General features: G+C 51.1%; 1 protein-coding gene and 1 long non-coding RNA gene across 16 annotated transcripts in view, besides 6 other annotated features; one reads left to right on the forward strand and one right to left on the reverse strand.

The window, feature by feature from the left end:
- RASSF2 (Ras association domain family member 2) overlaps positions 1–12,459 on the reverse strand; it is a 43,586-nt gene extending 31,127 nt beyond the window's left edge. For 6 of the 15 annotated variants that reach the window (NM_014737.3, XM_011529410.2, XM_017028151.2 and 3 more), the window contains exons 1-2: positions 12,408–12,459; positions 11,180–11,254 (exon numbers count right to left, since the gene is read on the reverse strand). The gene's annotated coding sequence lies outside the window, so the exon portion shown is untranslated. Of the gene's footprint in view, positions 1–2,968; positions 3,194–3,952; positions 3,999–11,179; positions 11,255–12,165 lie in introns of those variants that run through there. The other 9 variants (XM_005260895.4, XM_011529411.2, XM_047440621.1 and 6 more) reach the window with 4 other exon arrangements.
- Positions 694–923: an enhancer, noted in NCBI's record as "active region_17498". NCBI's record gives its function as "activates an Ori minimal core promoter by ATAC-STARR-seq in GM12878 lymphoblastoid cells {active_cell/tissue: GM12878}" and the evidence as "EXISTENCE:reporter gene assay evidence [ECO:0000049][PMID:35858748]".
- On the forward strand, positions 755–5,011 carry LOC107985392 (uncharacterized). Its single transcript, XR_007067506.1, has 2 exons — positions 755–2,342; positions 4,872–5,011. It is a non-coding gene; the product is annotated as an uncharacterized LOC107985392 (long non-coding RNA).
- Positions 1,673–1,852: an enhancer, noted in NCBI's record as "active region_17499". NCBI's record gives its function as "activates an Ori minimal core promoter by ATAC-STARR-seq in GM12878 lymphoblastoid cells {active_cell/tissue: GM12878}" and the evidence as "EXISTENCE:reporter gene assay evidence [ECO:0000049][PMID:35858748]".
- Positions 3,263–3,322: an enhancer, noted in NCBI's record as "active region_17500". NCBI's record gives its function as "activates an Ori minimal core promoter by ATAC-STARR-seq in GM12878 lymphoblastoid cells {active_cell/tissue: GM12878}" and the evidence as "EXISTENCE:reporter gene assay evidence [ECO:0000049][PMID:35858748]".
- Positions 3,333–3,742: an enhancer, noted in NCBI's record as "active region_17501". NCBI's record gives its function as "activates an Ori minimal core promoter by ATAC-STARR-seq in GM12878 lymphoblastoid cells {active_cell/tissue: GM12878}" and the evidence as "EXISTENCE:reporter gene assay evidence [ECO:0000049][PMID:35858748]".
- Positions 11,603–11,732: a silencer, noted in NCBI's record as "silent region_12648". NCBI's record gives its function as "represses an Ori minimal core promoter by ATAC-STARR-seq in GM12878 lymphoblastoid cells {active_cell/tissue: GM12878}" and the evidence as "EXISTENCE:reporter gene assay evidence [ECO:0000049][PMID:35858748]".
- Positions 11,953–12,362: a silencer, noted in NCBI's record as "silent region_12649". NCBI's record gives its function as "represses an Ori minimal core promoter by ATAC-STARR-seq in GM12878 lymphoblastoid cells {active_cell/tissue: GM12878}" and the evidence as "EXISTENCE:reporter gene assay evidence [ECO:0000049][PMID:35858748]".

The following is a 19,863-nucleotide window of genomic DNA, read 5'->3' on the forward strand; positions in this document are numbered from 1 at the left end:
CAACCTGGGCAACATTGTGAGACCCCATCTCTACAAAAAATAAAAAAATAAAAAATTAGCCAGGCACAGTTAATGCCTGTAGTCTTAGCTACTCAGGAGGCTGAGATAGGAGGATCGCTTGAGCACAGAAGTTCGAGGTTGCAGTGCGCTATGATGGTACCACTGCACTCCAGTCTGGGAGATGGAGTGAATCCCCTTCTTTAAAAAATCAAATCAAATCAAATCCTGACATCCAGATTGCAGCCCAGATCAATTACATCAGACTCTAGGGGAGGGGCCCAGGCAGAAGCACTTTCAAAGCCTCCCCAGGTCATGCCAGTGTACATCCAGGGCTGAGCGCCACTGTGGAACCTGGTAGGGAAAGAGCTGTGTAGATTGAGGACACCACCATAGGTATTTCAAAGCAGCCCTTCAAGAAAGGAAGGGGTGGAATTTTCTAAAAGCAAACTGAGTTGGGTATTTAGCACCCTCTCCCTACTACTAATATTTCCAAGGAGAAAGGGGACAGTGTAGAGTGTCCCGCAGGGTCTATGTGTGCAGGCACTGAGCTGACGCAAAGGGCTCCTTCTTGCAAGCCAGGGCACCATGTCACAGAAGCCAGAACCCCAGCCCCAGGCCCCAAGTCTGATGCAAAGGAAACGCTCACTGGAGGCCTGTAGCTTCCTCTTTTGGGGCCTGTGCACACCTCTTCTCTGAGCCCTGCCCCTCCCTCTGAGGACAACCTGGATCTCCTGGGTTGGAGAAGAAAGTTGCTGGACACAGTGCTTTCCACTACAGTGTTAAAGACCAACTGGCCAGGTCTCCTGAGGGAATCTGCTTTGTAACCAAGCAATGGCAGAGGAGATAGTGATCCCTCTGCGCTTCGGACCCCTTGTAGTGGGGCAGGAAGCGGTGTGGATGGCAAACAGGAAACCCCAGCCCCATTGCACCACACGAGGAAGGAGACTTGAGCTGCGGGCTGGGGCCCTGCCAAGACCTAGAGATGGCAAGAGATGCCAGATCATGCTTCCCAAACCCAAGCCTGTCCTGGGCATGGGCAAAATGTGGGCTGCCTCGGAAGGAAATGGCATACTCTGCCTTCTGCCTTCCTGCTTTATGGAACAGAAGCCCCATCACTGCCTGGACTCCTTTAACCCCTACACCAACCTCATTACGAAAGAAACTTTATTATCCTCATTTTGCAGTTGAACAGTTGAGGCACAAAGAAGCTATGCCACTTGCCCAAAGACACACAGCTAGAAGGGGCGGAGCTGAGGCTCAAATCCAGGGCGGTGCAGGTGCCAAGCGGAACCCCTGTAGACTACAGCTTCTCTTGAGGTGATAAGGAAGAAAGTGCTTTCAGCCAAAAATCAGCCAACCCAACTGTATTCTGGAGGAGAGGTTCTCCCACTTGAGTGTGTATTGGAATCTCTCCGAGGGCTCGTTAAAATACAGATTGCAGGTCCCTTTGCCCCAGTTTCTGATTCAGTAATTCTGGGGTGGGGTCTGAGAAGGTGCAGTTCTAATAAGCGCCCAGGGCTGCTGCTGATGCTGCTGGTGGTAGCAGGCTCTAGATGCTTTATCTTAGTCCCTCCAAGAACCTCAGGGGGAAGACTTCACTTTACAAATGAGGAAACAGAAGGTCTCAGAGGTTAGGTGGCTTGTCCCAGGTGGCACAGCCGACATGCAGCCCAGTGCTCCTGTGGCTCTCTGGCTGAGCGCTGGATCTGAGAGGGCCACTATGCGAGTAGCAGGTGCAGGCTGGCTCCAGCTACCAGCCCACAGCAGGCTGGGAGGTCTGGGGGATGGGAGGCGAGTGAGTGACCAGCCCAGAGGACAAGCTGTGGGAAAAGCAGACCCTGCAGGGGCCAGGGAGAGAGGCCCAGAGCCGCAGGTCCAGGACGTGGGCACTTGCAGTCACAGAGCCACTGACTCTCAGTCCCTTATCACACACTGGGTGGGACACTGAGGGGACAATGAACTACCCCTCCCATTCACAGGCCCCGCAGACCATCCCCACCCCATTCCCAGAAAAACCCCGATGCTTGGTAACTGACAGGCACAGCCCCTTCCTGGCAAGCTACCGCACTCCCATCCCCGGAGCTGCCCCTGCCTGGCCCACCGACACAGGAGGAACTGAAACACAGCAAGGGCCATGCTGGGGTTTCTTCAAGCATGTCAGCCTACGAAGCCGCCACTCTTCTGCCACCAACTGTGGCCCAGCCCGGCCCAGCCCTCCCTGCCCAAGCTGTCTGCACAGGCCTGGGTTCCCAGACGCGACTGTGGAAGATGGGAGGAAGCGGTCCTGGGACTCCTGCCGGAAAGGCCTGCCTCCAGCTCCACCCCAGTGGGAGGGTGGCCAGGTGAGTGACCCAGAAGGCCACCGCTGGGCCCACCCAGACAATGGCCTCGCAGACCGGAGGAGCAGCCACATGTTTACAGGGAAGCCCCACTGGCATCCACAAGTGCCTGACCTTTAGGATGGATGTTGCAGAAGGAAATTCAGAGCGCTTAGCCACTAATCAGAGAGGCAGGGCGCTGGAGCGGGACGAAAAAGGAAGCATAAAGGAAGCACAGACTCCAGAAAAAAGCAGCTGTGTGTGCGTGGGTGTGAGCATAGCTCCCGGTGTGTGAGTGAGAGTCCAGTGTGTGGCGTGTGTGTGTGTGTGTGTGGAGGGTATGGTTGGGGGTGGTGTGTATGGCTGTGTATGTGTGTGTATCCACATGTATGGTGTGTGTGCTTGGTATGTGTAGAATTAGACTCTGGCTCAGAGAAACTAAAGACCTAGAATGCTAACCAGCCAAGACATAGTCCCTCGTGGGCTCCAGTTCAACCAAGTGAGACATTCCATGTGACTGTAGGACCCAAGGGGAGAGTGGAAAGTTGGTGGAGACAACACTGGCCCCAATAAAGCAAATAAGACAAGACACTCCCTGACCTGCATTTCTCAAAGCTGAGCCAGTTTATAGGGTAGTTTTAATGTCCTACCTGGGGAAGAGCAAGGTAAGCTTTCCTCCTGTCCAATAACTACAGGATTTAAGGGAGGCCACCCTGCAGGGAGGGCCTGAGGCCTGTGTCCCCAAGTGCTCCCGATGGCCCATCTGAGGGTTCGTCTCCCAGCTCTGCAGAGACAGAGACAGACAGATCCAGGCAGGTAAGGAGGGGCTGCCTCCGGGTCCCCTGTTTCCTACAAGCTCAGATTTCTTTGGTATCGACACTTCCTGTTTACTGAGTGGTTTCCAAGTCACAGGCCACTCAGACTCATCTCTGACTTCACATCCCCTTCCTCAAGGGAACCCCAGCATTCTTCCTTTTTTGGTGCTATAGGCTGAGACTCTGAGCTCTGTGTGCGGAGATCTTGAGGTTTCCTCTACTCGCCACCTGGGGACAGGACTGAAAACCCAAAAGCTAGGATCGCTGGCCTCCTCCACCCCCAGACCCCGGCAGGTTCCTTGGACTTGAAAAGCAGTGAGTGGGAAGAGCAAAGGAAGTGCCGGGTGTGTCCAGAGCCCTCCAGGGTGGTCGGGGCGGCAGTCATTGCGGCATATCTGACATCCACCCTCCACCCTCCTTTAACCTTGAGTTAACGCATCCAACAACGTGTGCGGGGAAATTCCCCGCTCACTGCAGATCTCAGACCCCTCCTAGTGCCAGGAGAAATGGCACATCGGGGGGTTTCCAGACCGTTTCCAGGGGAAGTTTGCCACAGTAGCACATTCACAACCTCCTCTGTCTGCCCTGGGCACAGCTGACCAACCCTAAAGGAAAGTCAGCCCCATGAAAAGCAGAACTGCTCCTCCACGTGGCCCGCAGAGGCGGCTCTATCAAACCTCTGTACACCCGGACGACTACCTAAGATTAATAAGGTAGCCACCCACTGGGCAGGGCCAGGTGAAGAGACCCTGAGCGCCCTCCCAGACTCACGCTTTTACCAACTCACTGGAGGAGCCGTGGGCGCTTCGGGGAACTCACCTAACAAGGAACTCACAGCATTTGCCTCAGAGCAAATGTCCCAGAGAAAAGCCACCTGACCCACTCCCGTGACCCCTGAATAGAGTCACGTGACCTGGTTTCCCTGTTCTGGGTCCCGCAGCTTCCTGAGCTGACCTGCGGGCAAACTCTGCCTCAGCAGCCCCCCAACTACGTGGCACCATGGCCCCGACTGTACACAAAAGAGCCATCCTTGCCCTAAATGTCTGTGTGATGAGCTGTAAGACCCTACACGGCACTTTAGGAAGGGGCACTGATTATCTGAGGCTACCACCACCCATCTCCCCAGAGTACCTGAGGCCTCATGGACTCCACCAGTTAAAGTCCCCCCTGCACCCCATGCCACACTATGGACAAAACATTCAACAACCAGCCCTACAGCCACTGGGATGGGTATTTAGCAGGGCAAGCGTTGGGCACACACAAAGGATGCTTGAAATAGAAAGGCAGAGATCCTCCTTCTCGAGCTTCAGGGAAGCTAGTGTCCACACAACTCCACTTCTACCTGGTTTGAATCTCTCTCTCTGCACGGCACCTGCTCCCTCAAAGTCATGGCGAATCGTGAGCCCACATTTCCAAACTCATCACCACACAGAAAACCCTGAGATTAAGCAGCAGTGGGTCTGGGCCCCAAGGGCCAGCTGCCAGCAGCCAGCAAGCCATGCTGTGGTCAGCTCCCAAGCCAGTGGTGCTGCACGTCTGCACCCTGGCCACTTTTGTCCTGTGAGGCTGAGATGGAGGCAGCACCCTGATACTGCCCAGGCCAGGAAGGATAGTCAGGACCACATGACCCAGCCTGAGATGGAACCTCCAGGGGCCAAATACCACAGCTGTCTCCCGGGGCTTTCCTTTCAATTGCAGAAGTAAAATAAACATTTTTTGTTTTATTTTTTAAATATAGGTCAGGTTCCATGGTTCACACCTGTAATCCCAGCAATTTGGGAGGCCGAGACGGGAGGATGGCTTGCATGCAGGAGTTCAAGACCAGCTTGGGCAACATGGCAAAACCTTGTCTCTATAAAAAATAAAAAATTAGCTGAGTGTGGTGGCGTGCACCTGTAGTCCCAGCTACTTGGGAGGCTGAGGTGAGGTGGGAGGATGACTTGAGCCCAGGAGACGGAAGCTGCAGTCAGCCATGACCACACCTCTGTACTCTAGCCAGGGCAACAGAGTGAGACCCTGTCTCAAAAACAAAAACGAAAAATATATATAGATAAATGAAAAGATTAGTATCCACAAAAGGACAAATATTGTTTGATTCCATTGATATGAGGTAGCTAGAACAGGCAAATTCATAAAGACGGTAAGTAGACTAGAAGCTACCAGGAGCTGGAAGGAGAAAGGAGTGAGGGGGTTATTGTTTAATGGGTACAGAGCTTCTGTTTGGAACGACGAAAAAGTTCTGGACATGGATAATGGTGATGGGTTGTACAACGTTGTGAATGGAGTTAATGCCACTAATTTGTACACTTAGAAACGGTTAAAAGGGTAAATTTTATGGTATGCGTACTTTGCCACAATAAAACATAAAAATAAATTATTACATATGAAAAAAGATGAAGATCGAAATCTCGCAAACCTCCACCACCCAGAGATAATCACTATTGACATTTTACCATACATCCTTCCAGATGCTAATATAGATGGGTGATACAGTTTGTAAAAATAGCACATAGTTTGGTAAGCTGCTTCTTAAAAATATATCATATTCTGGTGGCTCACACCTGTAATCCCAGCACTTTGGGAGGCCGAGGCGGGTGGATCACCTGAGGTCAGGAGTTCAAAAGCAGCCTGGCCAACATGGTGAAACCCTGTCTCTACTAAAAATACAAAAAATTAGCCTGGCGTGGTGGTGCATGCCTGTAATCCCAGCTACTCGGGAGGCTGAGGCAGGAGAATTGCTTGCACCCGGGAGGCGGAGATTGCAGTGAGTTGAGATCATGGCATTGCACTCCAGCCTGGGCAACAAGAGTGAAACTACATCTCAAAAATACATATATATCATATTCTTCCACGTTAATAGCTACACACCTGCAGCCTATGTTTTTGTAGCCACTTGGTATTCCAAAGTATAGACATGCCATGGTTAACTAATGTATGACTGTTGGTCTCCATTTGTCACTATGGAGTGTTATCATTATTATAAATAATGCTGCGAGGGACATCCCCATACACATACTTTTCTGCATTTATCCAATTACATCCCTAGGGGCAGAATTCCTAGGGGTGGAACTGCTGAGTCAGGGACTTGTTTGGGAGGGTTGTCAACAGAGCATTAAGAGTAAAATTACACCAAGATGATGAATTCTGTCATAGAAAGTTCTCTTTCTCCACACAGACTTTTCTCCAAACCTCCTTCCAAAAACAGCCAGGTGTTAAACATTTACCAGGACGTCACTGGTCACAACCTAGGAATGCAAACCATGAGCAGACTCTACTTGGGTGTCTATAACTTTGCATAGTGATTCAGAAAGGAAGGGACCATCCGTTCCAAAAAAAACCAGTCCCTCCCTCCCCACCTCTCCAGGCCTCCTCTGGAGACACACCATGCCGGAGTCCTGAGGTGACACTGATATACAAGACAGGCAGGATTATACTGGGTTAATGTCCACTGAATTCCCAGGAGGAAGGACTCTAGGAGGGGCCAGTGCTGGGTGTCTCATGGTGGGTGGCACACATGTAGTCCACAGGAAAGGTTTTTTGTCATTAAAGGTTTTGTTCTTGTATAGACAGAAGGACAAGGCAATGACTCTTCTGAAAGAGATCAAGGGTTAGAAGGGACATATGGAATCATTTAATCCCTTGCCTTGGAGATGGGGAAACTGAGAACCAGAGTCTCACAGCATAAACATTTCAATAATCATTAGCCAGACGCAGTGGCTCATGCCTGTAATCCCAGCATTTTGGGAGGCTGAGACAGGTGGATCACTTGAGGTCAGGAGTTCAAGACCAGCCTGGCCAACATGGTGAAACCCCATATCTACTAAAAATACAAAAATTAGCTGGGCATGGTGGCATGCACCTGTAGTCCCAGCTACTTGGGAGGCTGAGGCAGGAGAATCGCTTGAACTTGGGAGGTAGAGGTTGTAGTGAGCCAAGATCGTGCCACTGCATTCCAGCCTAGGCAACAGAGTGAGACTCCAACTCAAAAAAAAAAACACAATAATAATCATAATCACTAAATGCACCCCAGAAGTGTCTCGCATGCAGGTGAGGTTCAACCGGTTTGGGGCAGCGCTTGAACATATCCCATGACTTGGATGCCTAATACAAATCTTATCCTCCCCTCCGCATGTACAGAATTGGAAATTAAAATCACTGGGGTCACATGCTGACTTAGTCATGGCCCGATGTGTGCTGGGGCCAGATCCTACTGGCTCCCAAGTGCCAATGGCGCACAACTCTTCCCAACTGAGTGTTCACTGATACCAGGTTGGTAGAGTGAAGTCAGCCATAGTGGGAATATTTATTTATATCATATAAACTGGAAAACACCACAAAGCAGGGCTTCCCCCAAAGCCCCTACCAAGAGCCGGGTGTTAAATATTCACCAGCACGTCGCTGGTCACAACCTAGGAATACAAACCATGTGCAGGTGACCTCAGTTTCCTCACCTAACCTAAGAGCAGCCTCTCTCCAAAGCACTGTAACTCTCTATGTTCCACCATAATACACACTCTGAAATCCATCATAGCCTGCTTCTAGCCAGCAAATGGTTTTCTACATGCTTGCTATGTGCCAGGCTAAGCACATGATAGCCCATTTGACCCTCACAATATTGCTGTGAGATACTTATTATAATTCCCATCTTACAGTTGTGGAAACTGAGTCTTTTCTTTTCTTTTTTCTTTCTTTTTTTTGAGAGGAAGTTTTGTTCTTGTTGCCAAGGCTGGAGCACAATGGCGAGATCTCAGCTCACTGCAACCTCCGCCTTCCAGGTTCAAGCGATTCTCCTGCCTCAGGCTCCTGAGTAGGTGGGATTACAGGCGCCCGCCACCATGCCCGGATAATTTTCGTATTTTCAGTAGAGACGGGGTTTCACCATGTTGGTCAGGCTGGTCTTGAACTCCTGACCTCAGGTGATCCACCCACCTCGGCCTCCCAAAGTGCTGGGATTACAGGCATGAGCCACTGCGCCCAGCCTGAAACTGAGACTTTTAATGACTTTTAACTATAAGTTAAAGCCTGTCTTAGGTTGGTTTCACCCAAAAGTAGATCGTGAAACAAGAATTCAAGTTCAAGTACAAAGGGAGTGTACAAAGTACAAAGTACACTCCCTTTGTACTTGAAATGTACTTGAGATGAGGAAGTGAGCAAGCTAACACTATGAGCAATTGAGATTCGGTCCTGCAAGGGAATTCTTAGAGACAGCACAGAACATGCCCCAAACTTATCTCAAAAGAGAGGCGAGGAAGCTGGAGTATTTGCACACCTTCTCCCATCAGTCATTGGTTGAGACCAGTGGAACATGGGCAGGAGACTGACAGCATCTATTACATTATTCAGTATCCCACAGCTAGGAAATGGTAAGATGCAATTCAAACTCCAAATCCAATACTCTTTCATGACATTTATAAAAATGAGCAGTTAATCACACTTCACTGAATGCCAACTACGGTTAAAGCACCGTGCTGATGAAGGAAATCTACTTTGCCAAATCACTTTGGGTCGACATGTTCAAAGAAAGCACAGGTATTTCTCTGCCAATTTTCACCAATTGAAGGAACAGGAAAGGGCCTTGGAAGTCATTTTGCCCGTTCCACAGGAATGGATGAGAGGGTCCCTCTCTGGTTCTGCCACAGCTGCCTTGAGCAGCAGCAGTTCCCCAGCCCCAAGCTGTCACCGCAAACAGCAGCATCAACCTGTGATGACAGACTTTAGAGTCTGCCATCCCAGAAGTGATAAAAAATGACCCACTGGCTGCATAGCCCAAGTCAGAGGATGTGCCACCCTCCTTCCCTGGTGCCTCCTGCCCCATTCACCAACCCCCGCCTCACACGGCCATGTGGTCCACAGTAACCAACAAGCAGGCCAAATAAATGAAACCAGCCGTGAGACCTGTGGGAGCTCACTCCACCTTGAGGACATTTATACATTCTTCTGGGCCAGGCACAGTGGCTCATACCTATAATCCTAGCACTTTGGGAGGCTGAGGCAGGAGGATGGCTTGAGGCCAGGTGTTTGAGACCAGCCTGGATAACATAGCGAGACTTCATCTCTATAAAAAAATAAAAATAAAAATTTAGCTGGGTGTGGTGGCATATGCCTGGGGTCTCAGCTCCTCAAGAGGCTGAGGTGGGAGGATCGCTTGGGCCCAGGAGGTTGAGGCTGCATGAGCCATGATTGCACCACTGCACTCCAGCCTGGGCGACAGAGAGAGACCCTATGTCAAAAAATAATAATAATAATAAATATAAATAAAAAATAAAACTTCTTCTTGGAGACAGGGAAGTGTTTAAATAGGACAGTGTGTCATTACAGTAAACAACTGGACGATGTTGTGAAGAGTATTAGGGAGGTAGCAGGAGGGAATTTCTACCCCTTGCTTTATAAACCCAGCTGTGGCAGTTCTCAGCTACTACAGATTGAAGATAGAGGCTAAACATCTTGTTCCATTCCAAGCACACTGCTGAGACCTGCCCTGTTTCTCGCTCTGGAAGAGAGGAGGAGATGAGTCCTGGGACTACTCTTGGGGTCACTCAGTCCATCTCCCAGCCTCTCCGTGAGACTCTCTGGCAACCTGACCCTGCCTTTCTGCCCCCACCTCCCACTCAGTAAGGACACTTCCTGCCAAAATATCCTAAAGAGGACTGAAAGTAATAATCAGGCCCATGTTCTTTTGTGCTTTGATGACAGGTCTCCTCTCTGGCAAGCAGCGTCGTCCAGCCCTCTGAGGCAGCAGATGCACACCCTGGGCACTTCTCCAGCTGACTCGCTCAGCCATTCCTAAGCAGCTCACGTATGGAACGCAGACACGAAGCCTGGCTCCGGGGCACCAGGAAATAGACCAAGAAGTCAAAGCAAAACCAATAGCAACTGGGATGTCTCAGGTGGGTCAGAGCATCCAAAGGATTGAAAACAAGGTGTAGGGTTGTCCGCCACACCAACTGGGCTCCTAAGATGGCACAAACTGGCGAGAAGACCTGAACCTCCAAACAGAAGCCATGTGGAGATGGAGAGAGGTGGGCCGCAGAGCACTAGGGACAGAGTGAGGCCACGCTCAGGGAAGTGGGGATGATGTGGCTGCAGATACAGCAGATGTGGGCGCAGCCCCAGTTGGCCAGATATGGAGGGCACACAGTCCCCTTCCCCTGGAGGAAGGCACGAAAAGGGACCTCAGATCCCTGGTCTCCTCTCAGCCAGGCTCCTCAAAGGGGCCATCACCATTCCAACCCAATTTCAACAGAATAAAAATGAGGGGAGTGGAGCACTTGGGATATGTCTAGGCTGCACCCCAACACTTACCATATGTCTCCCTGATATTCCACCTCTGCTCCTCCATCTGCTGAAGGAGGAGCGGAACTCACCTTCCAGCCTCCCCAGCACAGGGAACCCAAGCTGTACCAGTCCACACTCCACGTGCCCAGGCAGGCTGCACGCTATGCCTCCATCTTCTCCCAGGGCAAGAACACCCGCTCTTTCCAAAACTACTGCCCTCTCCAAGCTCAGCCATCATTTGAGGCCCTCTTCCACCCCTGTGAGGCCTGCTGGACTGCCACAGCCTAGGCATCAGGCTGACCTGTCCAGAGGAGAAAACACAGCTACTGCCCACCCTCAAAGCCCCCACGCAAGGGTCTCTGATCCCAAATGGCCACCACCCAGGTAGATGTCACACTGTGTCCCTGGGACACTATATTTGAACACAAGTGTTTTGGTTTTTTTGAAAATTAACTCTCCTCAAACAACCCGATATATCTTCGCCATGCGAGGCTTCTTTAATCCTTCAGACCACCTGCAGAAAAAGTGCCTGGTAAGTAAATGTGGATTTATTAGTAAAATAAGCCTAGCTGCAGATTCCTCATCCAGATGTTCCTGAAAGAAGGCCCCTGGCTCTGTCTTCCCGGCTGTTTAAAAGAATCATTGTTTCTAATTCTTTCCTCCCATTGTACTAAGATCAACTGTGGCAGGAACTGGGTCCCCCTCCAGGACAAATTGTTGTTTGTCAGCTGATTGGTTCATACATTCATTCATCATTTACAAGGTACTTACTATATCCCCAGGCTGCCGTAGACACAGCCTTTGCTCTCCCGAAAAACACGTTCTAGGCGCCGGGATTCCAGATACCTGGGAAATAGAGTGCACGCAGCTGTTGAGAGGCCTCGCGCTTGGCTTCTCCTATCACTGAGGCGCAGAGGTGCTGTGGACAGCCCAGACCCACACGGCGCCCGAGGTGAAACAGAACCCTCAGTCTCCCTATGAGGCCACTGGCACTCTCGGCTGTCCCCAGAGCTCTCCGACTTAGAGCTGAATGCAAAGTAAGCGCTCGAAATGCAGAAGTAGCCGGGGCCGCCCACGGCACCTGCCTCGCTCGGGGCGAGAGAAGACGCCAGGCTGAGGTCCCAGCGACCTCAGGCACCAGCTCCGAAGGAGGGCGGGGAGACCGCAAAGGGGAAGTGCCCGGAGGGCCAACGGCCCCCGCGCACCCTGCGCCCCTCTGAAGCGCGCCGCCTCCCCGCGCCGGGGACTGGGACCTGCCTCTGGGGAATCCGCCTAGAAGACGGCGGCGGACTGGGGTCGGGCACTCTCCAGGGCTGTCAGGCCCTCCCCAGCCCTGCACCTGCCGCGCCGCCCCACCTCGCCAGGAAGTCTCAGAGACCCCGGGGATGGGGTGGGAGCGCCTTCCCATCGCGGGCTCAAAAAGAAGGAAGGACGCCCCCAGGGGTCGTAGAAGGAGGACTAGCTCCAAGCCACAACTTTCTTCGGACCCAAGGCAGGCCGGCTGGGGCTCCGCGCCTACACGGCCCCTGGCGGGGGTCCGCGCGCCCCGGGAGCCCCGCGGCTCGGGGAGGAAAGAGGAGACAAGAGACAGGCGAGGATTACGGGGCTGACCCAGCCGGGGTAGGGACCATCGTGGAAAAACTTTGGCGAGGTGGGGGGACGCGGAAAGAGAGCGGCCCGCGCCCTGCACCTTGCGCCGGGCATCCCGCGCCAGTGCCTCGCTCCCAGTGCCCCGCGCCCCGCGCCCCGCGCCTTGCCTTCACCCCGGGCCAGCTGCATCGCGCCCGCGCCGCAGGAACCGTGGAGTTGGAAAGTGGGGGCGCCGCGGCTGGGGGGCTGCTTCAGCTGCGCCTCGGCCAGCGATCGGCGGGCCGGGCTCAAATCCAGCCAGGCTGGGCAGGCGGTGGCCGCGCGACTGGGGACCGGGCGCCCCGCCCTCCTCGCTCCCCTCCTCCTTCCTCTCCCTCCCTCCAGCCCCTTGGCCTTTTTCAGCCCCTACCGGATCTGCTCGTCCGCTGTCCTCTCTTTTCTCTCGCTCTTCATATCACTCTCCACCCCTTCGCCTTGCCTTCGCCTTTCTTCCTCCCCTTGTCTCCTGCCCCCTCCTCTTCTCCCCTCCCCTCTAGGGGCGGAGCTTCTCCCCTCCCTCCCAGACAATGCTGTGGCTGCGTCCCCTTCCCCGCCAGCTCGTCCAGGCTCCCGCCGCCAGCGATTCTTCCGGGCTGGGGGTGGGGAGGTGGGGGGGGAGTGCAGGGTTGGGGAGGATGAGCTGGCTCCCCTCACCTCCTTGCTGCTGCCCTCTCCAAGAGGGATGGAGACTTGGCCCAAGCTCCTCGGTTCACCCGGAGCTGTGACAGCCACTCCCAGGGAACAGTCACGCTGCCCTACCAAGCCCACCTCCAGCGGCCTGGATTCCCCAGGCAGAGGTTGTGGGATTTTGTTTTTTCTAACATCCCAGCTTATTCCCAAAAGGGTTTGAGCCGGACAGGGGCTAAACAGGCCCCTTCGACTTGGCGGGCCGGCCAGACGTGACAGCAATGCCAAGGAGGCCAAGTTTCTTTGTCCATTTCTCACCTCCCCCTTTTCCATCCCTGGACCTCCTGGCGCCCCCAGTACACAGAGGCCCTTGAGCAGCCCGGCTGCAGGTTCCCTATCTACTCAGAGTTCTCCCCCTCACGTGCCTATCCCCAACCCTGCAGTGTCTGCGGACCAAAGGGGAAGGGAGCCTCAGGCCAACCCCCAAGGTACAGCCAGACCAGCTCATCCAGCCTGGAAGCCAAGCATTCTTTACTAAATTCATTGTTTGGATCTTGGAATGTGTCTCCCTTAGAAACAATGTTATAAATGGTGATCTGCTTCCCAGGCCAGCCACAAAAGTCTGTTGAACCCAAAATGCAGCTGTAGGGTGGTGCTGAGAACTGTGTCAGCTACCCTGAAAAAGGAGGCCACTGATCAGCTTTATTTGTAGAAAAAATATGTATATATCTTCTGGTTCTTTCTTCTTGGGCTATAAACACTATAAATTAAATAAGTTAAAGTTCTCCCATTAAGTTTCCCCATATGGACCCACTACTCTATGTGTTAAGCTTCTTTCCTTTGCAGGTAATAGAAATAACCTTGGGGGAATGCATTTGCAGACGCAGTGGTTTCTCGATAATCTCATCTAATCTCAGTGTCAGAACTGCATGGAGAGCTCAGTATAAGAGGCAAATCCAGAGCCTAAAGGGCTTCCCGTAACCCAGAAAGTCTTCCCTGAGGGGTTCTTTCTTCTCCTTCATCACAGACTGGCCCTCCCTGCACCCCAGACACTTGGTGAAAGGTGGCCATGACTTCTATCTCCGGGGCTTGGAGCTCTGCTGCTCAGGAAAGCAGCCAGATGCTGCTAGAATCCCTTATTCTCTAATCTAATCTCCCAAAAGAGCAGCTCATCCTCCTGTGACAGTGGGGCTAGGGATGAGCTCAGGTTGTACATACTGGGCTACCAGAAACCCTGAACCTAGGCCCTATTTAAAACTAAACCCATTACTTTTGTTTTTGTTTTTGTTTTGTTTTGTAATTTTGAGATGGGGTCTCACTCTGTCACCCAGGCTGGAGTGCAGTGGCATGATCATAGCTCACTGCAGCCTCAATCTCCTGGGCTCAAGAGATCCTCCTGCCTCAGCCTCCCGAGTAGCTGGGATTACAGCCATGTGCCACTATGGCCAGCTAATTTTTGTATCTTTTGTAGAGATGGGGTCTCACTATGCTGTCCAGGCTAGTCGTAAACTCCTGGCCTCAAGCAATCCTCCCCCTCAGCCTTCCAAAGTGCTGGGATTACAAGCACAAGCCATCTTGCCAAGCCCTGAACACATTTCTCTCTACTTAGATTCTCCATCTTGGTGAATAAATTGATTGATTGATTCATTCATTCATTCACGCAAGTCACCAGAAAACATTTTTCCATTCATCAATTTCCCCATACCAAAGCCACAGGTGAGAAAGGAATAGCCCTTCATCCTTCATCCTTCAAGGCAGAATATAGCAACACATCTGAACAGGGATAATATTTTGCATATATTAAACTAATAATTAAAGTCTACCCTTAAATCATATTTTCTTTTTTTTTTTAAGATGGAGTTTTGCTTTTGTTGCCCAGGCTGGGGTGCAATGGTGCAATCTTGGCTCACCGCAACCTCCACCTCCCAGGTTCAAGATTCTCCTGCCTCAGCCTCCTGAGTAGCTGGGATTACAGGCATGTGCCACCATGCCCTGCTAATTTTTTGTATTTTTTTTAGAGATAGGGTTTCACCATGTTAGCCAGGCTGGCCCCGAACTCCTGACTTTGTGATCCACCCACCTCGGCCTCCTAAAGTGTTGGGATTACAGGCGTGAGCCACTGCACCTGGCCAGACCGTGTTTTCTTATAGGCTTCTACCACCAGAGGCCAGACCAAGAGGCTCATGGCCCAGGAAGCAACAGGTGAGCATTGTCTAGAATTGTCTAAAATTCTCCAATAGAAACACAACTTGTGGCTGGGCACAGTGGCTCATGCCTGTAATCCCAGCACTTTGGGAGGCCGAGGCGGGCAGACCACCTGAGGTCAGGAGTTTGAGGCCAGCCTGGCCAACGTGGTGAAACCCCACCTCCACTAAAAATACAAAAGAAATACAACTCAAGCCACAGGTGCAATTTTAAACTTTCTAGCACCCACATTAAAAATGGTAAAAAGAAACAGGTGAGATTAATTTTAGTAATAGATTTCTATTTAACTCAATATGTTACAAATACTATCATTTCAACGTGTAATTAATATAAAGAAATTATCCATGAGACATTTCACATCCTAGTTTCATACTAGGGCTGAAATCTAGCGTGTTTTTTGCTTGAGGACATCTCAATTTGGACATTAAAATTTCAACAAAACTACTTGATCTGAATTCAGATTTTGTAAAACTTCTAGTTGAAAAAGTAGATTCACATGCCCAAGTTGTTTCAAACATACTTAAATGTTGCCCAATAACTGAATCGAGGATCGGCATATACATTTTCATTTTAATTAATTATGAATAAATAAACTTAAAATTCAGTTCCGGCCGGGCGTGGTGGCTCACGCCTGTAATCCCAGCACTTTGGTAGGCCGAGGTTGGTGGATCACAAGGTCAGGAGATAGAGACCATCCTGGCTAACACGGTGAAACCCCGTCTCTACTAAAAATACAAAAAATTAGCCGGGCGTGGTGGTGGGCACCTGTAGTCCCAGCTACTCGGGAGTCTGAGGCAGGAGAATGGCGTGAACCCAGGAAGCGGAGCTGGCAGTGAGCCGAGATCGCGCCACTGCACTCTAGCCTGGGTGACAGAGCGAGACTCCGTCTCAAAAAAAAAAAAAAAAAAAAAAATTCAGTTCCTCAGGGGCATTTGCCATGTTGCAAGTGTTCAATAGCCACAGGCTACCAGATTGGGACAGCACAGGTTTACAGAACAAGGAGGCCACTGATGAGTTTGGAGTCTCAAAGCTAAGTTCCTTTTTTCCTTAGCAAAACAGTAGTGGGAATGACAAGCATGGCCAGAGAAAGAAAAGGAGCTTCTGCATTTCTTTGTCTCCCCGTATAACAGCTGGAGAGGCAGATCAGAGTTCTCCTGTGTGGCTTGGGAAAAGGAGGCTATGCAGAGAACTGGGAGGCCCAAAGCCCACTCCTCAGTTCCCAGTGGATTCTGGGAAAAGGGAGGAAGACAGAAAGTCCTGGATGCTGCGTCTCCCCTATTTGTGACCTTTGACCTTAGAGCAGAGGTATGTTGGTGGGTTAAGTGGAGTTCTGGGGATAGAATCAAGGATTACAGGCCAGGTGCGGTGGCTCACGTCTGTAATCCCAGCACTTTGGAAGGCCGAGGCAGGAGAATCACCTGAGGTCAGGAGTTCGAGACCAGCCTGGCCAACATGGTGAAACCCCATTTCTAATACAATTACAAAAATTAGCCGGGCGTGGTGGTGGGCGCCTGTAATCCCAGCTACTCAGGAGGCTGAGGCAGGAGAATTGCTTGAACCTGCGAGGCGGAGGTTGCAGTGAGCAGAGATGGCGCTGTTGCACTCTAGCCTGGGCAACAGGAGCAAAACTGTCAAAAACAAACAAACAAACAAACAAACAAGAACAAAAAAAAAAACACGGTCTGCCCACTCGCTTCTCCTCCAACCTAGACAGCCTCACACAAGTCAGCTCAGTGCAGCACCATAGCTACACAGAGGGAGGGCCTGGGTTCAGCTTCCTGGGGTCACCCACAATCCCCGTGTGGCATAGATGTAATGCCAAAGTTCCCACCTGCTCCCAAGGACCAGGAGCTTCAGAGGGAAGCTGAGTTGTGTGAGCCACAGGCTTTTTTAACAGGGCCTGTCTTGGTTTGAGCTCCCTCAAGAGCAGAGCCTGAGACAAGGATTTGGGTGCAGATCATTTACTGAGGACCCAGAACGCAGGAGTGAGGGAGGGAGGAAGTGGAGAGTGGGGAAGGTGCATTATTGGACAGGTTACTGCTGGGGGCAACTGGGGCTTGACTTCTCTGGGGACCGTATAAGGAACTGTGTAGAACACGCCTCAGAAATATCTCATTAAAGGTGGGGGGTTTGGGGCATTCTTCTGCTGACTCCTCTCATTCTCCTCTAGTTGAGCTTACCTCCTCTTACTTCCTGGTTTGTGTGGACATATTTGTTCTAAAAGAAACATCTGAGGCAGAAAAACAGGAGCCGGCCGGGCGTGGTGGCTCGTGCCTGTAATCCCAGCACTTTGGGAGGCCGAGGCAGGCGGATCACCTGAGGTCAGGCGTTCGAGACCAGCCTGGCCAACATAGTGAAACACCGTCTCTACTAAAAATACAAAAATTAGTTGGGCATGGTGGCGCACACCTGTAATCCCAGCTACGTGGGAGGCTGAGGCAGGAGAATTGCTTGAACCTGGGAGGTGGGGGGTTGCAGTGGCAGTGAGCCGAGATCGCGCCACTGCACTCCAGCCTGGGTGACAGAACAAAAATCCAGAAAAAAAAAAAGAAGAAAAAAGAAAAACAGGAGCCATTGTCCCTTAAGGTGGAATGAGTTCCTGTTCGTGGAGCTGTCCACCACTGCCCTGCTGGGATGAGAAATGGGCTGAGGGGATGCGACACAGAACAAACAAATCATCTGCTCTAAGCCCCAGGATGAAGAGGGGCAGGTAGACCCTGGCTAAATCAGGGGCTGGCAGGAGGACATAATGGAGACCCAGAGGGTGCATCAGCGAAGGCCGAGTGAAGATCAGAGTGCAGAGATCCGAAGGAGCCTGGAGCACCCAGACCTTGAACTGCACACGCTGCAGGCGTCAGCAGTAGATGCCAGCCCAGTACTCAGGAATGGGACCAGCCCGTCCAGCATTCTGCTTTCAAGGGAGGGTCCAGAGCAGGCCATCTGCAGCGGGGCCCAGGGAGGACCCAGAGGCCTCCCCGTGATCCTGAGCACGAGCCTCACTTGCCACCACCAGAGTAAGGTTCAATCTCTCCCAAAGATGCGTCTTAAAAAGAGCTGGGCAGGAAGGAAGAACTCTGAGAGAGGGTTTGCGTAAGAAGACCAGAGGGACCATTTAGTATTGCATAAGACTTCATTTACCAGACTAATATTCAGATATTTTTCCCCTCTGCTATCCAGGAGGTAAGAATTTACAGAGGAAGATCCAATGAGATATAGAGAAATAAGGAAGCCTAAGTGAGGTCTACCCCTGGGCTGCCGCCACCTCTTCACACGTCTGGTGCACCAGCGTGGCAGGCCAGCTGGACATCTGCTTGACGGGTGAAAAAAGACCCTCTTGGGAGAGAATCTGCATTCTAAAGAAAGAAGAAAACAAGTGGTAACGCGGCTTGAGTTGACAGAAGGCTAATGAGATTGTCACTCAACTCTGCTCCCAATCTGGTCCCCTGGACACACAGGAGGGGGCTCCTGGGAAGAAGAAGGGGCTCTAGGTTACAACTGAAGGGGCTGTTTTGTAAACCTCCGGGTATTCTCAGACCCAAGCAACCATGTTTTGGGAACCCTCCTGCTGAGTAATACTTAAGGGGCCAACCCTCCACTGTTCAGCTTCTCTATTTCAAGAGCTTGTTATGTTGACAACACTACCTAGAATGAGACAGCTTGATTGCCAAAACGGTCACGACTACTGGCTCCCAGCACACTTGCTGTTTGCAATGTGATGCTGCAGTTCCTCCAATAAGGAAGTGGAGTCTACTTCTCCACCTTGAATCTGGGCTGACAGTGTGGCTTGCTTTGGCCAATAGAAGGAGGCAGAAGTCATGTTGTGCCTTTTCAGAGCCTGGGCCTCAAGAAGCCTTGCATTCTCCCACTCTCTCTATTGGAACATTGCCTCTACCACTGAACACACCTGAGCTAGCTGGCTGGAGGATGAGAGACCACATGACCCAGAGCCAAGTGGGCCCAGCTGTCCCAGCCAAAGCCCCAGGCATGTGAAAGAGCCCAACCAAGATCTGTCAAGTCCCATACCCAAATCCAGAGCTGACCACCAATGCATGAGGGAGCCCAGCTGAGTCTAGCCCAAATAGCCAGCTGATAAAAAGCATAAACAAAATAGATGGTTGTCACTTTAAGCCACTACGGTTTGGCATAGTTTGTTTTATAGCAATAGTGAACTGTTAAAGAACTTAACAGGATACTGCAATCAAGGCTGACGCGACCAGGGTATTGAGCAGACACAAGTCTGAAGTCCCCTGTATTTGCTTATGAGCTTGTGCGAGGTACCTCTAGGAATTTGTCCCCACTGCCAGCCCTGTGCCCCCGCCCTTGCCCCCACCACCAAAGCAGCAGAAGAGGTATTTTCAAATGGCTCAAGTCTGAGTGAGTTGGTGACATTTAGATTTATGGCTGTTAATGTGACTCCATTTGTTCTCATAAACTTGAGAGACCTAGGGAAATTTGAGTAACAAAGATTTTGTCACTGAACTCTACAAGTTTATCTTTCATGGGGCAGGACTATCTTAATTAAAGAGTTCATTTTATCCACCACTAAGCAATTTCCATAGCATTTAAAATATTTATATGACACAGTGTCTGGATCCATCCTTGCAGATGGGAGAGTGGATTGAAGCTCTCGCTCAGCTGATATCTAAGTAGGCTCATGTCCACATGTCTTGGGCCCCAGACAGGAGACCTATCTTACTAGGCTTTCCCTCCTCAGTTAAAACACAAACAGGTGCTGGTAAGAGGAAAAAAAAGAAAAGAAAAGAAAAGAAAAGGACCTAAAGTACATAACCTAAACTTACTCATTTCCACCTTTTGTCTCTTTTCACAAAAAGTATTTGATAGACAGCCTCAAGGCTAAACTCTCTCTTGGCCACCTTCCTGCTAAACAAAGTGCTTATAAACAATTTGGTAACTGAACCATGTTTCAGATTACGTGGGATATGTCATAAAATTTTCCTAGGAATCCATTCCGGTTTTTTTAACCCCAGGGTTAC

This window comes from Homo sapiens, chromosome 20 (assembly GCF_000001405.40).
Source record: "Homo sapiens chromosome 20, GRCh38.p14 Primary Assembly".
Taxonomy (NCBI): Eukaryota; Metazoa; Chordata; class Mammalia; order Primates; family Hominidae; genus Homo; species Homo sapiens.